Genomic DNA, 15,617 nt, shown 5'->3' on the forward strand with positions numbered 1-15,617 from the left:
CACTGCTGAATTCTACCAAACATTTAAAGAACTAATATAAATCCTGCTAAAACTATTCTGAAAAATAGAGGAGGAGGGAATGATTCCAAACTCATTCTATGAGGCCAGTATTACCATGATAACAAAACCAGACAAAGACACACACACACACACAAAGAAAAGAAAAGAAAAAGAAAAAGAAAAAGAAAACTATGGGCCAAAAACCTCTAACGAACATTGATGCAAAAATCCTTAATAAAATACTAGCAAAGTGAAGTCAAAAATATATTAAAAAGATGATTCATCACAACCAAGTTGGATCACAACCCAGGGATTAAAAGATGGTGCAAGCTATGCAAATCTGTGAGTGAAACACATCATGTCAGTAGAATAAAGGACAAAAACCATATGATCATTTCTATTGATGCTGAAAAAGCATTTGAAAAAATTTAACATCCCTTCATGATAAAAATCCTCAAAAAACTAGGGTATAGAAGAAATATACCTCAACATAATAAAAGCCATATACAACAGAGCTGCTGCTAGTATCATACTGAATGAGGAAAAACTAAAAGCCATTCCTCTAAGATCTGGTACACAACAAGGATGCTCACTGTCACCACTGTTATGCAACACAGTACTGGAAGTCCTAGCTAGAGCAATCCCACAAGGGAAAGATAAAAGCGTATCCAAATTGGAAAGGAAGAAGTCAAATTATCCTTGCTTGCAGAAGACATGATCTTATATTTGGAAAAACCTGAAGACTCCACAAAAAACAATTAGAGCTGATTAAAAAAATTCAGTAAAGTTGCAGGCTTCAAAATAAATAATACAAAATCAGTAGCATTTCTATATGCCAACAGTGAACAATCTGAAAGAGAAATTAAAGAAGTAATCCCTTTTACAAGAGCCACAAATAAAATCAAATACTTAGAAATTAATGAAAGAAGTAAAAGATCTCTACAATGAAAACTGTAAAACACTGATGAAAGAAATTGAAGAGGACACAAACAAATAGAAAATAAACTACATGTTTATAAACTAGAAGGATCAATATTGTTAAAATATCCATACTACCCAGAGCAATCTACATATTCAATGCTATCTGTATCAAAATACCAATGACAGTCTTCACAGAAATAGAGAAAAGTATCCTAAAATTTATACTGAACCACAAAAGACCTAGAATACCCAATTCTATCCTGAGCAAAAAGAACAAAACTGGAAGAATCCCATTATCTGACTTCAAATTATACTACAGAGCTAAAGTAACCCAAACACCATGGCACTGACAAAAAAACACACATATAGACCAATGGAACAGAATAGAGAACCCAGAAACAAATCCACATGCCTACAGTGAACTCATTTTTGACAAAGGTGCCTAGAAACATACATTGGGGAAAAGACAGTCTCTTCAACAAATGGTGCTGGGAAAACTGAATATCAACATGCAGAAGAAAAAAACTAGACAGCTATTTCTTGCCATATACAAAAGTCAAATCAAAATGGATTAACAACTTAAATCTAAGACTTCAAACTATGACACTACCACAAGAAAACATTGGGGAAACTCTCCAGGACATTGCTCTGGGCAAATATGTCTCGAGTAATATCCCACAAGCACAGGCAACCTAAGCAAAATGGACAAATGGGATCACAACAAGTGAAAAATCTTTTTCATAGCAAAGAAAAAAAATCAACAAAGTGAAGAGACAACTCACATAATAGGATAAAATATTTGCAAACTATCCATCTGACAAGGGATTAATCACCAGAATATACATGGAGCTCAAACAAGTCTATAGGAAAAAACAATCTAGTAATCCTATTAAAAAATGGCCAAAATATTTGAATAGTCATTTCTCAAAAGAAGACATACAAATGTCTAACAGGCATAAGAAAAGATGCTCAACATCAGTGGTCATCAGAGAAATGCAAATCAAAACTACAATGAGATATCATCTGACCCGAGTTAAAATGGTTTTTATCCAAAAGACAGGCAATAACAAATGCTGGAGAGAATGTGGAGGAAAGGGAACCCTGGTACACTGTTGATGGGAATGTAAATTAGTACAAGCACCATAAAAACAGCTGGAGGTTTCTCAAAAAACTAAAAATAGAGCTACTATATGATCCAGCAATCCCACTGCTTGGGTATATACCCAAAAGAAAGGAAATCTGTATATTGAAGAGATATCTGCACTCCTATGTTTGCTGCAGCACTGTTCACAATAGCCAAGATTTGCAAGCAACATAAGTGTCCACTGAGAGATAAATGGATAAAAGGAATGTGGTACATATATACAATGGAGTTCCATTCAGCCATAAAAAAGAACGAGATCCTGTCATTTGCAATGCATTAGATGGAACTGGAGGTCATTATGTTCAATGAAATAAACCAGGCACAGAAATACAAACATCACATGTTCTCACTTATTTGTGGTATTTAAAAATCAAAATAACTGAACTCATGGAGAGAGAGAGAGTAGAAGGATGGTTACCAGAGGCTAGGAAGGGTAGTGGGGGGGTCAGCGTGGGGAAAGTAGGGATGGTTAATGGGTACAAAAAAATAGAATGACTAAGACCTAGTATTTGATGGCACAACAGGGTGACTATGGTCAGTAGTAATTTAATTGTACACTTAAAAATAACTAAAAAAGTATAATTGGATTGTTTGTAACACAAAGGATAAAAGCTTGAGGGGATGGGTACCCTATTTTCCATGATGTAATTACTGTGCATTGCATGCCTTATCAAAATATCTCTTGTATCCCATAAGTATATATACCAACTATATACCCACAAAAATTAAAAATAAAAAAATGGTAATAACTGACAAGCTGCTGGGATGGCTCCCATAGCCCTGGATTGCCTGCCTATCTCCCAACTGTTATGAGAGAGAAACTTCTGTCTTGCTTGATCCACTGTCTTTGGATGTCTCTTTGTCATAGCAGTGGAGCCTGCACATATATCACCTAAACTCACACAATGTCCTTCCTACTTTTTGAATGTTAAAGTATTTCTTGGGCTGGGTGTGGCGGTTCACACCTATAATCCCAGCACTCTGGGAGGCTGAGGTGGGTGGATCACCTGAGGTCAGGAGTTTGAGACCAGCCTAGCCAACATGGCAAAACCCCGCCTCTAGTAAAAAATACAAAACTTAGCCGGGCATGGCGGTGTGCACCTGTAATCCCAGCTACTTGGGAGGCTGGGGCAGGAGAATCGCTTGAACCCAGGAGACAGAGGTTTCAGTGAGCCGAGATTGTGCCACTGCACTCCAGCGTGGGTGATACAGGTGACACTCGGTCTCAAAAATAAAACAAAGTATTTATTTAATAAAATAATTGTGATAATAGGTTGAAATTTTTTTAAGTCCTGAATTGGAAAATAAAAAGAAAGTTAATGGTCTTATATCAGTATCCTCAATCATTTAAAAATATTTTTATTTATGAAATGAAAAATTTGAGACCTCCTGATTTTGATGGTATATGGGCCAAATAGGTGACATGAACATTTTAAAACTCAAGAATCTTGCTTGCCCAGAGGGGATATTCTGGTAACAGCAAAATTCTTGCACAACTTATCACCTCTGTTTGGGTACCTCTAATAAGTGCTGCTACTTTCAGGGTTTTTTTTTTTTTTTTTTGGTCAGAAAATGAATGGAAGCTGACCAGTGAAGGAGAGCCTATGCTAGATTCATGAAAGACCCTAAGAAATGTTTTCAGCTGTGCAGAAATAAATTGATAAGCAGGAAGAGATCTATGGAGCCACTGGAACTAGGGATGTCAAATATGATCAATTAATAGTGGCTGCTTGGAAGTTTTTGAAAATACAGTGACCCATTAGAAAGGTTTGCTTTGGGTGTGGAAGGTGTCATGTTTACTTAAATTAAGAGAGGCCTTAAAATGAATCAGAAAATCCATTTTCCTTACCTGTGTGCCACACTCCCTTTCTTGATATCTGAAATGACGAGGGGGTCTCCTGGTTTTCTACTGGATGGTGCTGTAATAATGGAGATAGAATAATCACATCTTTATATCCATTATTCACCCCTTACTGTACATTTCCCCTGTTTTATAATAACTTAATGCAAGTAATGTTTGTATGCAAAACAAAGATGGTCAGCAAATGAATTAGGAAGTATGCACATTATGTCTTTACAAATGTTTGTGCTAAAATATTTACAAACATAAAAACTAAAGCAATGCCACTTTAAATTTGTAATTAGAGAAAGCAATTGGATAAGTACCCATTTAATTTAAATCTATTTTAATAAGCAATTCTCAAGAGAGGACCTGAAGGGTGGGTATCTCAGTTGGAGAGTATTAAAATCAATTGGGGGCTCCCCTTAGTTACCCCTTCTTTTATTCCTTTCCAGTGAGGAGACACCACTGTTGATGGGAATATGCCATATATCACTTCAGTGTAGAGTGGGAAAGTGGATAAGAATTACTGATTTAAAGTTCTTTTTTTTGGCCAGGCACAGTGGCTCATGCCTGTAATCCTAGCACTTTGAGAGGCTGAGGTGGGAGGATCACCTGGGGTCAGAAGTTCGACATCAGCTTGACCAACATGGTGAAACCCCACCTCTACGAAAAACACAAAAATTAGAAAGGCATGGTGGCACATGCCTGTAGTTCCAGCTACTTGGGAGACTGAGGCAGGAGAATTGCTTTTACCCAGGAGGCAGAGGTTGCAGTGATCCAAGGATCACACCACTGCACTCTAGCCTGGGCAACAGAGCAAAACTCCGTCTTGATCAATCAATCAATAAAGTTCTTTTTTTTTTCCTCACAAGGAAATCTTTTGCTAGATGGACTCTAAATCTTTAAATTCTGCTCACAAATTCATACTTAGAAAGCTCTTGGAATGTGACTTTTTTTTTTTTTTAGTAAATATTTTGTTGCTAGTTAACTAAATTTTTATATATGCTCATATTCTAAACATGTACATGTAATTTTATTGAGTTTTTAGATAAAACTATTATACTGCACAGTGGTCAGTTTTGGGTTTTTATCAATTTTCTCAGGAATATTTCCATTTATGAGAGTAAAAAACAATTATAAATGAGCCTACTTAGAATTAACCCTAGAAACTAATTATAGTCCATATAAATACAAAAAAAAATCTTGGATTAGAGGTTTGCACTTAATTTAGGAATTGGATCCTTAAAATTAGCCATACCAACATTTGTGAAAAACAATTTGCCTCCAAGAGGAGATATTTTGCCAACCTGAAGGCTGGAGTGGTTTCCTTTTAGAGATCATTAACAGGCCCCTAAAGTAAGATTTTATTATAAACAGTCTGATCACCCCATAATAATCATAGAGCCATATCATATCCCATAATCCCATCTGAATCCCAGGAAAATGTTTATGCACAAGAACAGATGGCTTAATATCTTAACACAACATTTAAAGAAAAAGAAAACGCATATACCGATACCTTACCCACTGTCTAAATTAGTCCATAGTAAATGCTAATGGGACTTCATTTAATCATTATTCTTAGCTTCCAGCAAAGAATGCAAAACATTCTCTTCACTACAATTAATTCATAATTTAAAACTTCATTCAATGATTTGATAGAATGCCTCTAGAGGCATATAAGCATCCAGGATTTCTAGTTACATCATATTTCAAAACTGCAAATTGTTCTGGGCATAGGGCACAAAAACAAAAACTTTGTTATTACCAGCAAGTACAGCTTTTCTAGCATCTGCCAATGAATTGACACAATATTTTTGCCAAGCTGTAGTAACCATCACATAGCACTCAATGTTTCCTTTGGCTTTTTTAAAAAAAATCCATGTTCCACTGAAATGGTCTGTAAAACCAAACAATAGTAGAGGCAACAAAATATATCAGACCTATCTCTGTCATCCTTGAAAGAGAGAAATATAGCACTATAAGGTCTTGGTCAAACCTACACAGCTTTGCAGAGGAGTTTGAAACTACTCATGGTCTACAGACATGTATGGTGGCCATTTTCACATTTACTAGATTCTTCTCTTTCTCCTTTAATGGACTCGATAGGGTGGATGCCCATTGGGATGATGGGGTCGAACCCAGAAGTGTGTCATCCAGATCTGTATGAGATCCTGCCCATCACCACCATGCATGTTAAATGTGGCTATGCATGGTCCGGGGGCCCAGTCATGGTTTGTGTATCCTAGCCCCATGTTTTAATTTTCTACTACCTAAGAATAAATCACAAACCAAGCATGCTTTGCTTGGCTGGTAGTGCTTTAAAAATATTTAGTTGCCAACACTTACAAATTAGTAGATTTTATATAGATACATGGCTTCTTTTAAAAAAATAGATGGGCAATATGGTGTCATGATTGAGAGACAGGACTTGGCAGCCAGAATGGTTGGGTCCAAAATCCTGGCTCTACCACTTATTAGCTATATGTGCTTGAGCACAAAGTACTCAGGTGCCTTAGTTTCCTCATCTGCAAAATGGTGTTCATGAATAACAGTGCTTACCATACAGTTTTTGTTGGGAGGATTATGTGAGCTATTACATGTAAAGAGATTGGATGAGTGCACACATAAGGAATTACATAAATGTTTATTGTTGCTATTATTGTTTAACAACAGTGGACTGTTTCCCACTACCTCCTTTAGATGGAGCCTTTGATTTCCCATTTGCCTCTATCCTCATTGGGCTGATCTCACTCACTGAGTTGCCTCACCCATGAAAGCTTCTGAGTTTGTGACCCTTTGAATGAGAATACACTAGCATTCACTGAGTGCTTGGAATTTGATTGGAGTTCTCCACAGAACCATTCGTTTATTTAGTACATAGTTTTTGAACACCAACTATGAGACAAGCGCCTCTGCTCTGGGCACTGGCTATGAACCTCCAGGGAAGTTGAATAAAAAGGAGAGACAGGGCTGGTTAAATCTCCTGAAGTTATTAGGCATGAAATAGTTTTCTCTCTTCTGTCAAGTGATTCCAAGTGGGAAATCCATACAAACACATCATATGGGGATGGGGAAGGATACTGAATACTTCCAAGAGTGTGGTTAAGAAGAAAAGGGCAATAAAAGCTTATTAAGTTCTGAAACAGAAAGAAAAAACAATACAACTCTTTGAAATTTCAAACTCCTTGAAATTTCAGCTGAACTGGTCGAACACACAACTGAAAGCCTGACAAAAAAGAGCAATGATGCTAAATCCTGTGTTATATGATATATATTAGTACTGCCTCTTTCCCATTCATATTTTATGAAATGATTTTAATTCAAACTCGTCACTTGTATCTCCAATGCAAGTGTTTTTGTTGTTACTAGATTTGCATTATTTGAGTCATTTACAAGCTTGTTCAGAATTCATCGTCGTCATGTGTGTCTACAGCTCTTCTGCAATCCAGCAAGGCGATGTCATTGGAAATTTTATCCCGGATCACAAGAATCCATTTTAATAACACTGCAATATTAAGATTTTTCATGCTGCCTATAGATATACATTCTTGGTACTCACAAGGAAACAACTTACTATATTACTTTTTAAAATGTATTTTCTTTGTACCAAAAATATACATGCATACAATTTAAAGAGTCAAGAATTCTGAAAGAGCCGTCCTCAATTTCTTGCTTCCCCAGATGCTTTCAATTCTTTTGGCTGTTTCCATATTGCTAAATAATATATGACTATTACTACCAAATTATTTTCTGGTGTTAGTCATTTTCTATTTACTTTCTATTATGAAAGATGAAGAGTTAGTTTCTCCCACCTCTAGACCACTAACATACTCATATACCCTTCTTGTCCCCCCATTTTCCCAATACCATTTTGTCATAATTTTTGGTATTTATTGATCAACATTTGGAATTTATTTTAGCATGACTATGTCAACAGCATCCAGAGGTAAGTCATATAGCATTCCATGATTTCTTTCCTTTTCTGCAGAATATGTATTTCCTTTAGTTATCTGATGTCTTGATGTTTTTGTTTGCTTTGTTTTCTTGTGTTTATTATTAATTCAACTCCTCATATTTCCCAGGATATATAAATCTTCTCTCAATGTGTCAAATCTTATCAGGAATTCTATCAGAGTTTGCTAATCTGTCTGGACTGGTTGCTTTCTAGGTTTGCTACACAGATCTTGGGGACTTCCTTCCCACAAACCCTGGGAAACCCAGAGGTTCTCTTCTCTTCTCTCTTGCATCCTTAGATCCCTTGTATCCTGAACCCAACTCTCCCTGTTTCTGGCTTTACTTTCTCTCACTCTTGGTGGTGCACATTCTCCAGTAGCTTCTGAGGAAGAGTGCAAGGGAGAAGAGTTTATTGAGACCTTGTAGAGCTGAAAATGTCATTTTCTACCTTCATATTTGATTGACTACTTTGCTGAGTAAAGAATTCTAGGCTGGCAATCCTTCTTTTAGAAATTTGAAGGCACTTTTCCATTGCTTTCTAGCTTCCAGAGTTGTTGTTGAAAAGCCTGATGCTGAGAAATGCAAATCAAAACCACAATGAGATACCATCTCACACCAGTTAGAATGGCGATCATTAAAAAGTCAGGAAACAACAGGTGCTGGAGAGGATGTGGAGAAATAGGAACACTTTTACACTGTTGGTGGGACTGTAAAGTAGTTCAACCATTGTAGAAGATAGTGTGGCAATTCCTCAGGGATCTAGAACTAGAAATACCATTTGACCCAGCCATCCCATTACTGGGTATATACCCAAAGGATTATAAATCATGCTGCTATAAAGACACATGCACACGTATGTTTATTGGGCACTATTCAGGATAGCAAAGACTTAGAACCAACCCAAATGTCCAACAAAGATAGACTGGATTAAGAAAATGTGGCACATATACACCATGGAATACTATGCAGCCATAAAAAATAATGAGTTCATGTCCTTTGTAGGGACATGGATGAAGCTGGAAACCATCATTCTCAGCAAACTATCGCAAGGACAAAAAACCAAACACCGCATATTCTCACTCATAGGTGGGAACCGAACAATGAGAACACATGGACACAGGAAGGGGAACATCACACACCGGGGACAGTTGTGGGGTGGGGGAAGGGGGGAGGGATAGCATTAGGAGATATACCTAATGCTAAATGACGAGTGAATGGGTGCAGCACACCAACATGGCACATGTATACATATGTAACAAACCTGCACATTGTGCACGTGTACCCTAAAACTTAAAGTATAATAATAATAAAATAAAAAAAGAAAAGCCTGATGCTATTCTGATTATTTGATTATTGTTTGTATTATTCTAACACATTGTATGACACCCCATCATGCCCTGCTGCTCCAGCACCACAACCCTGTAAGATTACTGCTTCGTCCAGTGTTCTCAGATCTCTTGATGACAAGCTTTTCTGTGGGTATTTCCATCCACAGGTATGGACCCACCATTTTGGAAATAAATCCCTTAATTCTAAGACATTTATACAATTATTTCTTTAATGTGTTTCTTTCCTCTTTCTTTCTGTAACACCTATTACTTGGATGTTGTGTCATTTGTACTCAACCTGTATAATTTTCTCATCTATTCTAGATTCTTCACTTATTTGTTGTTCTAATTTCTGAACATTTTCCTTAACTTTATTTTCCAATATTTGTATAGAAGTTTAGTTTTTTCATTTCTCTTAATTTTCAAGGCCCACTTTTTTCCCCCTCTGAATGTCATTTTGTAATAGCGTCCACTCCCTGCTCACCTCATGAATGCAATGTATTTGTTGCTAATGATGTCAATGATAGGTTTCTCTTTGTTTGGTTTGTTTTCTTCTTCCTGAATGTGCTAATTCTCTGATTTCCCCCTTTGTTTCTGGTGACAGCCTCGCATATTAGATTCTTCCTCAAGTGTCCATTTTTCTCTTAGCTGTCTGTTTATATTAAAGAGTGTGGTCCTAAAGAGCTGTTCAAAAGCTTGGTGTACCCAAGTAGGGCTTGTGGACTGTGGGTCTTAAGTGTAAGTTGAGGCCAGGCTGTTTATTTGGGTCAGATGGTCCTGAATTTTCCTACCACTTGAAGGCTATTAAACTTGGCTATCTGGCTTCTTTAAGCTTCCTGGGGGAAGAAGGCTCTCAGTCTCAACATTCAGTATGCAAACCTTCACCTAATTTCCATTTTTAAAGCAGTACTGCTGCATTCAGCTGTGTGCTCTCAGTCCAAAGAACTCTCTATTGCATGCTTTCCAGAGAATAAAACTCCAGGCTTCTGCCAGGGTAGGGGAAGGGTACTTCGGAGTCGGAGAAGGCATCTAAAGACTAAGGTCATTCTTAGCAGTCTTTAAACCAATCCTCCTGCCTTAGGATTTTCCATCAAATGTACTTCCCGAAGTTTCTGGTCCCTGAACCTGTACTCCAAAGGGAGTACAGGATAGAAATTAGGCTCACTATCAGCTTCCCCTCTGCTTCTTTACTTAAATTCATCTTTCTTTATCTTCTTTGCCAAATTTGGTTGCTGTTGTCTATTTTCCTTTTCTTTTTGTCCTTATGAGTTTTTGCCCTTTGAAAAATCTTATATTGTCATTTAAAGTGGAGTGTAGGGTGGGAGAAGAAGTAAAGGCTTGTGTTCAAGCTACTGTCTTTTAGAAACAGAGCAGGGACCCCTCTTAGGAGCCTGCTGAGCACCACCCCCCAAACATAGAAGTATAAAAAAAATAGTATTTTCAAGGGAAATTCCAGGCACCTAGGTAGGCTTGAAAAGTCAATTAACAACCCTATAAGCAAGAAGATACAATACTGAGAACTTAAACAATAGTTTCCCAAGCAAGTCAGCATCACAAAGCATTTTGGTTCCCCATAGAAACTAAAAGATAATATATTAACATATGTTCTTATGTTGTTTTTCAGAAACCTGGACCCACACCAGATGGAAAATGCTGACCACCATTACATAGACCTCAGAGATCTCATGGAGATAAGGAAGAAGTGAGAACTGAACTCTACCATTTTTTGTTCTAAATTTCTTCCTGAGAGACCTGGAGAGAGTCACGCCTAAAGGCCACACCTTAACATTCCTTTTTTGCGGATCCTAAGTTTTTAGACAAAGCCCTGCTTCTTTAACCAACTGCAAATCAAAAAAAATTCTCTGAATCCACCTATGACCTGTAAGCCCCCACTTTAAGATACCTGCCTTTTGGGGCCAAACCAATGTAAAGTCTCCATGTATTGATTTATGACTTTGCCTATAACCTCTGCCTTCTACCTTTAAAAACCATCTAGGCCATCAGGGAGTTCAAGTCTTAAGCATTAGTTGCCCAATTCTCCTTGCTTGGCACCCTGCAACAAATGCTTCACTTTCTCTCGCTGAAAATCCTAGTGTCACTGTTTGGCATTTTCTGTATGCTGGGCAAGTGGACCCAAGTTTGGTTTGGTAACATTTTGACCTCAGAAATTTAAAAACCACTCATCATCACACACACACATACAAACTCTTAATCATTCAGCTTTACTTTAATTGCAACCATATACATCATACATGGTAAGTAAAACAAGTTAATTGATTTGAAATGGAGCAGTGAGTAGAGCTTTTTACTGCAAAGTTGGCAAAATAACAGGAACCAATCTCTTCTAAATATACTTTAAAACTTAGGGGAAAAATGACAGATTTGTTGTGCTTGTCATCACAAAGGCTGCTTCATGATTTTATAAGAAAATAAAGCAAGCCTTTGTTCCTGCAAACAATTCAGTCAGAACTAAAAAGGAAAGACAGTGAATTCACTGTACTCACAAAATACTGTCTTTTGCTTTTCTGATATAGGATATAGGGAGTTTCATCAATCAGATGGTGACAGGGATGAGTGGTGTGGTGAAAATAAAGCCAGTGCTAAGTCAGAGACAATGGGTTTGGATCCCTGCTTCACTTTTTATTAGCCCCTGGTCTTTGGGCAGGTTACCCAGCTGAGTTGTTCTTTCCTCTTTGTAAAATGGAGATAGATGTCACAGAGCTACTTTCAGGATTAAGTAAGAAAACATATAAAACTGCATAGTGCCATGCCTGGTACAAAGTAGACACAAACCCCTGTAATAAAACCTCAAGGGAAAACACCCATGTAAAAAGGACTTTACTGATAATGGGATGTGACAGAGACAATCAGGATTCGCTGACTCGAAAGAGAGGTGGGCTGTGAGGAAGGTGTGAGCTCTGGGATTTCTGACTGGTTAAGGTGTGGAGGCATCAGGATGTGACTTCCAGTCCTGAACTGCATCCTTCTGCTAGGCTGTTCCACTTTATTTGCTACAATAAATCACTCTATATTACAGCAATAACATCAATAAAAGCAATGCCTGGTGCTAATATGCTGCAAATGTGTCATCGGAACTTAAGAAAATTAGTCTGAAACTGCTCACTGTGTCTAAAATCAGACAGACTCATTTCTCAGTCAATTAGGTATGAAGAGTGAGCCGTAAAGGCTCTGCTGGTATGCTTCCAGAGATGAGGGGCTGTTTCTTAATACTTAGAGCTTGCACAAGGTGAAGACGACAGAAAGAGGACTTGGTATAGAGATAATGAGAAGAATCAAGTCCTTGCAGCACCTCGGTTTCACTAACAGTATCCGTGTGTGTCTGAGAAGAGGGTTCCCAGATTTCCTTCTTATGTTGGCACTAGATTTTGTGGGCTGGAGCTGTGCTTAAAATATTTTAGCAGGCATGGTGGCTCACACCTGTAATCCCAACACTTTAAGAGGCTGAGGCAGGAAAATCGCTTGAGTTTAGAAGTTCAAGACCAGCCTGGGCAACACAGTGAGACTTTATCTCTACAAAAATTTAAAAATTAGCCAGGCATGGTGGCTCATGCCTGTAGTCCCAGACACTTGGGAGGTTAAAGTGGGAGGATCGCTTGAGCCTAGGAGGTTGAGGCCGCAGTGAGCCCTAATAGTGCCGCTGCACTCCAGCCTGGGTGACAGAGTGAGATCCTGTCTCAAAAAATAAAACATAAATAAATAATATAATATTTCAAAAGGCTCTGTGTGTAAAGTAAATAATGACGAAGATCATCATCATTAATGTTTGTTAGGGTTCACAATGTGTTTAAGGCATTTTACATATAGTAATTCATTTAATCTTGTCAACAATACTATGAAGAAGGTAATATGTACACCATTTTCTAGATGAAGAAACGGCACAGAGAGGTTGAGGGAATCAGGGCATGAGACAGTCTAGGCTCTGAGTCCTTGCTCTTAATCATTTTCTAAGTCAGTCTTTCTTCTGTCTATGCATCAGCCTTTGCACAAACATTTATATTCATTTATCATCTCCCTTGGAAGCTCATTTCTTGGAGTACATAGTGCTTAGTAAAACATTTGCAGGTAAAGCTTCTTATTCATTCACTCAGCAAATGGAGGCATTATATAAGCACATTGTATGTCAGGAACTGTGCTAGGCCTCAGGATTTTACTAACTCATAACAATGAAAATGGATTCTGGCCTTTTTGTTTTTCTTTTTTTAAAGAGCAAAGTCTGCTTTGTCATCTGGCAAAATATGAGTATTTCCCATGAGGAGACACAAAAGTCAGCGTGGTGGTGACGACTAGTTGTGCAAATGGAGCTGTAGCTCTAGAAGAACTGACAAGCATGTTTGACAAGCTCATGTATCATTTCTCTGTCCGGGAATAGCATAACACTTTCAGCTTCCATGAATGCGTTTGCTTGTGGCTGGCTAAAATGCAAGCCATCTTTATGGGGGTTTTTAGATTGTTGCCATTATTGCTACTAAAACCCATTTTAGAAGTAAAACACTCATGCAAAACAAAACACCATCATAAAGCATAATATTAAATGATTCTTCATGTGGATAAAACAAATATTTTGTAGTTTGTGTACAAGACTACATCTCAAACAAATTAGCATATAAATGTCTACTTTTTAATAAGAAATACACCATAGGGTATTTTTAGATGGATACTTTCTGACTAAATTATATTTTTTATTTATATCAATCTGTAACTAAGAATACATCTATTGTATAAAACAAAATTAAAGACAATATTCCTACTTAAAATTTGAGAGTAAAATAACTGTGTGGCAGTGGTGATAAAGCTTCTGAGGAATAGATGACTTCACAATACCAACCAGCAGGAAGCATCTAGAAGGACAGGGTGTATATTCTTAAAATTTAGCCTAGGGCTTAGAGCATGGTGGACACTCAGAATGCATTTGTTGAGGGAAGGCAGAAGAATGAAAGAATGGAAGTGGGGGCAGGGTTTCTGTGTACAGAGGCAGGTTATATAGTGCACAACTCCAAGACGCACCACTCCCACAGCTAGTTCTGACAGAATAAATGAATGGATTGGAATAAACAAAAGAGAATAACCTTAAAGTTGCATGAGTGTTTGCATGCAGAAGCCATCTTGAGCCCTAAATATGTTTGGAACAGTAAATTCTGATACGCTTTCTTAATTTTAGTAGCCCTAGTTGTTGACACTATAGTGACATACCATCTTTGCTGCATAGTGAAAAAACTGAGAGGCTAAGTGACCCAATTAAAGGAATAAATGACTTTAGGAGCACTTAGGATAGTGCTGGAGTCTCTAAAATCCCATTCCATCTTTCTACTTTTCTCCCACTAGGTCACATTAGGGTTTGGGGGGATCTAGGCTCTCTCCCATACATGTGGCTTCTTGCTCTTAATATTTATTTTGAATTGCAGTACCGTTCTTTTTAGTGTTGCAGTAGATATGTGTGGGTTATTGGTTATAAATAAAATTTCATTTTTCAGTATTAAATTTGTATCGTCCATGTTGAATCAGACAGCACCATTTCATACTGCCCAATTGAGAACTTTTATTTATTTTTTGCCTGAACCACTGACAGAAATGCTATCCAACAGAGTGCAGTGAGGCACTTTTATGTGGCCTCATCACTCTTTCTTGAAGAAACCAGCTCTTGGTCACAGTCATTACCTCTACGTCTCCTTTGGTCTTTAGGCATTTAACATTTGCTTCATTTTCTTGGGACATTTATGGATGCATTTAGTCTATGGATATTAAAAGCCCCCCAAAACCCTCAATTTCCATTCTATGAAAGTCCACTGGAGCTAACACTTTCAAAGTTGTTTTTACCAAAGCAGTTATAAAACTAAAGCCCGAGGAAAGGAGGGAATTGAGTACATTTATATGCTCCACTTTTCTTTCTGGTTCAGTTTTCCAGACACTGTGCACTATGGAGGAATTCAAGGATTTACTTAAAGTAAGAGACATTGTTTTAGTCTTGTGAAAAGGATTATAGATGCTTAGTGGACAGATGGGAAGATAGTCTTAAAAGTAAATAAAGGTAATTTTTGTTAAATAGATTATAAAAACTTAATTCACAATACACTGTGAATTAATATACAATATGCTAATAATATATATTATACGATATACTAATAATTCACAATATAAAATGTAGAGAATCTATATGCATCTATCTCTCATCTAATTATTTATCTAGTTGTGTGAGATACATGTTTATCTCACCAGGACTCATCACTTGCCAAGCACTGTACTAGGTATATAAATATGGATTTTATTCAATAATTAAAACAATCCTATATTTTCTAGCTATCCTTATTTTCATTTTACAGATGAAGAAATATAAGATTGGAGAGAGTTTGAGTAACTTGTCTCATTCATACAGCCAGTAAGTGCTGGAGGTGTGACTGACTCCACA

General features: G+C 37.3%; 1 protein-coding gene across 22 annotated transcripts in view; it reads right to left on the reverse strand.

The window, feature by feature from the left end:
• GRIP1 (glutamate receptor interacting protein 1) overlaps window positions 1-15,617 on the reverse strand; it is a 721,908-nt gene that overhangs the window by 69,375 nt on the left and 636,916 nt on the right. For all 22 annotated transcript variants that reach the window (XM_047428622.1, XM_005268757.5, NM_001379351.1 and 19 more), the window contains one exon: window positions 3,915-3,984. In XM_047428622.1, coding sequence (XP_047284578.1) covers window positions 3,915-3,984 — 70 coding nt within the window. The remainder of the gene's footprint in view (window positions 1-3,914; window positions 3,985-15,617) is intronic.

Source organism: Homo sapiens, chromosome 12 (genome assembly GCF_000001405.40).
Source record: "Homo sapiens chromosome 12, GRCh38.p14 Primary Assembly".
Classification (NCBI taxonomy): domain Eukaryota; kingdom Metazoa; phylum Chordata; class Mammalia; order Primates; family Hominidae; genus Homo; species Homo sapiens.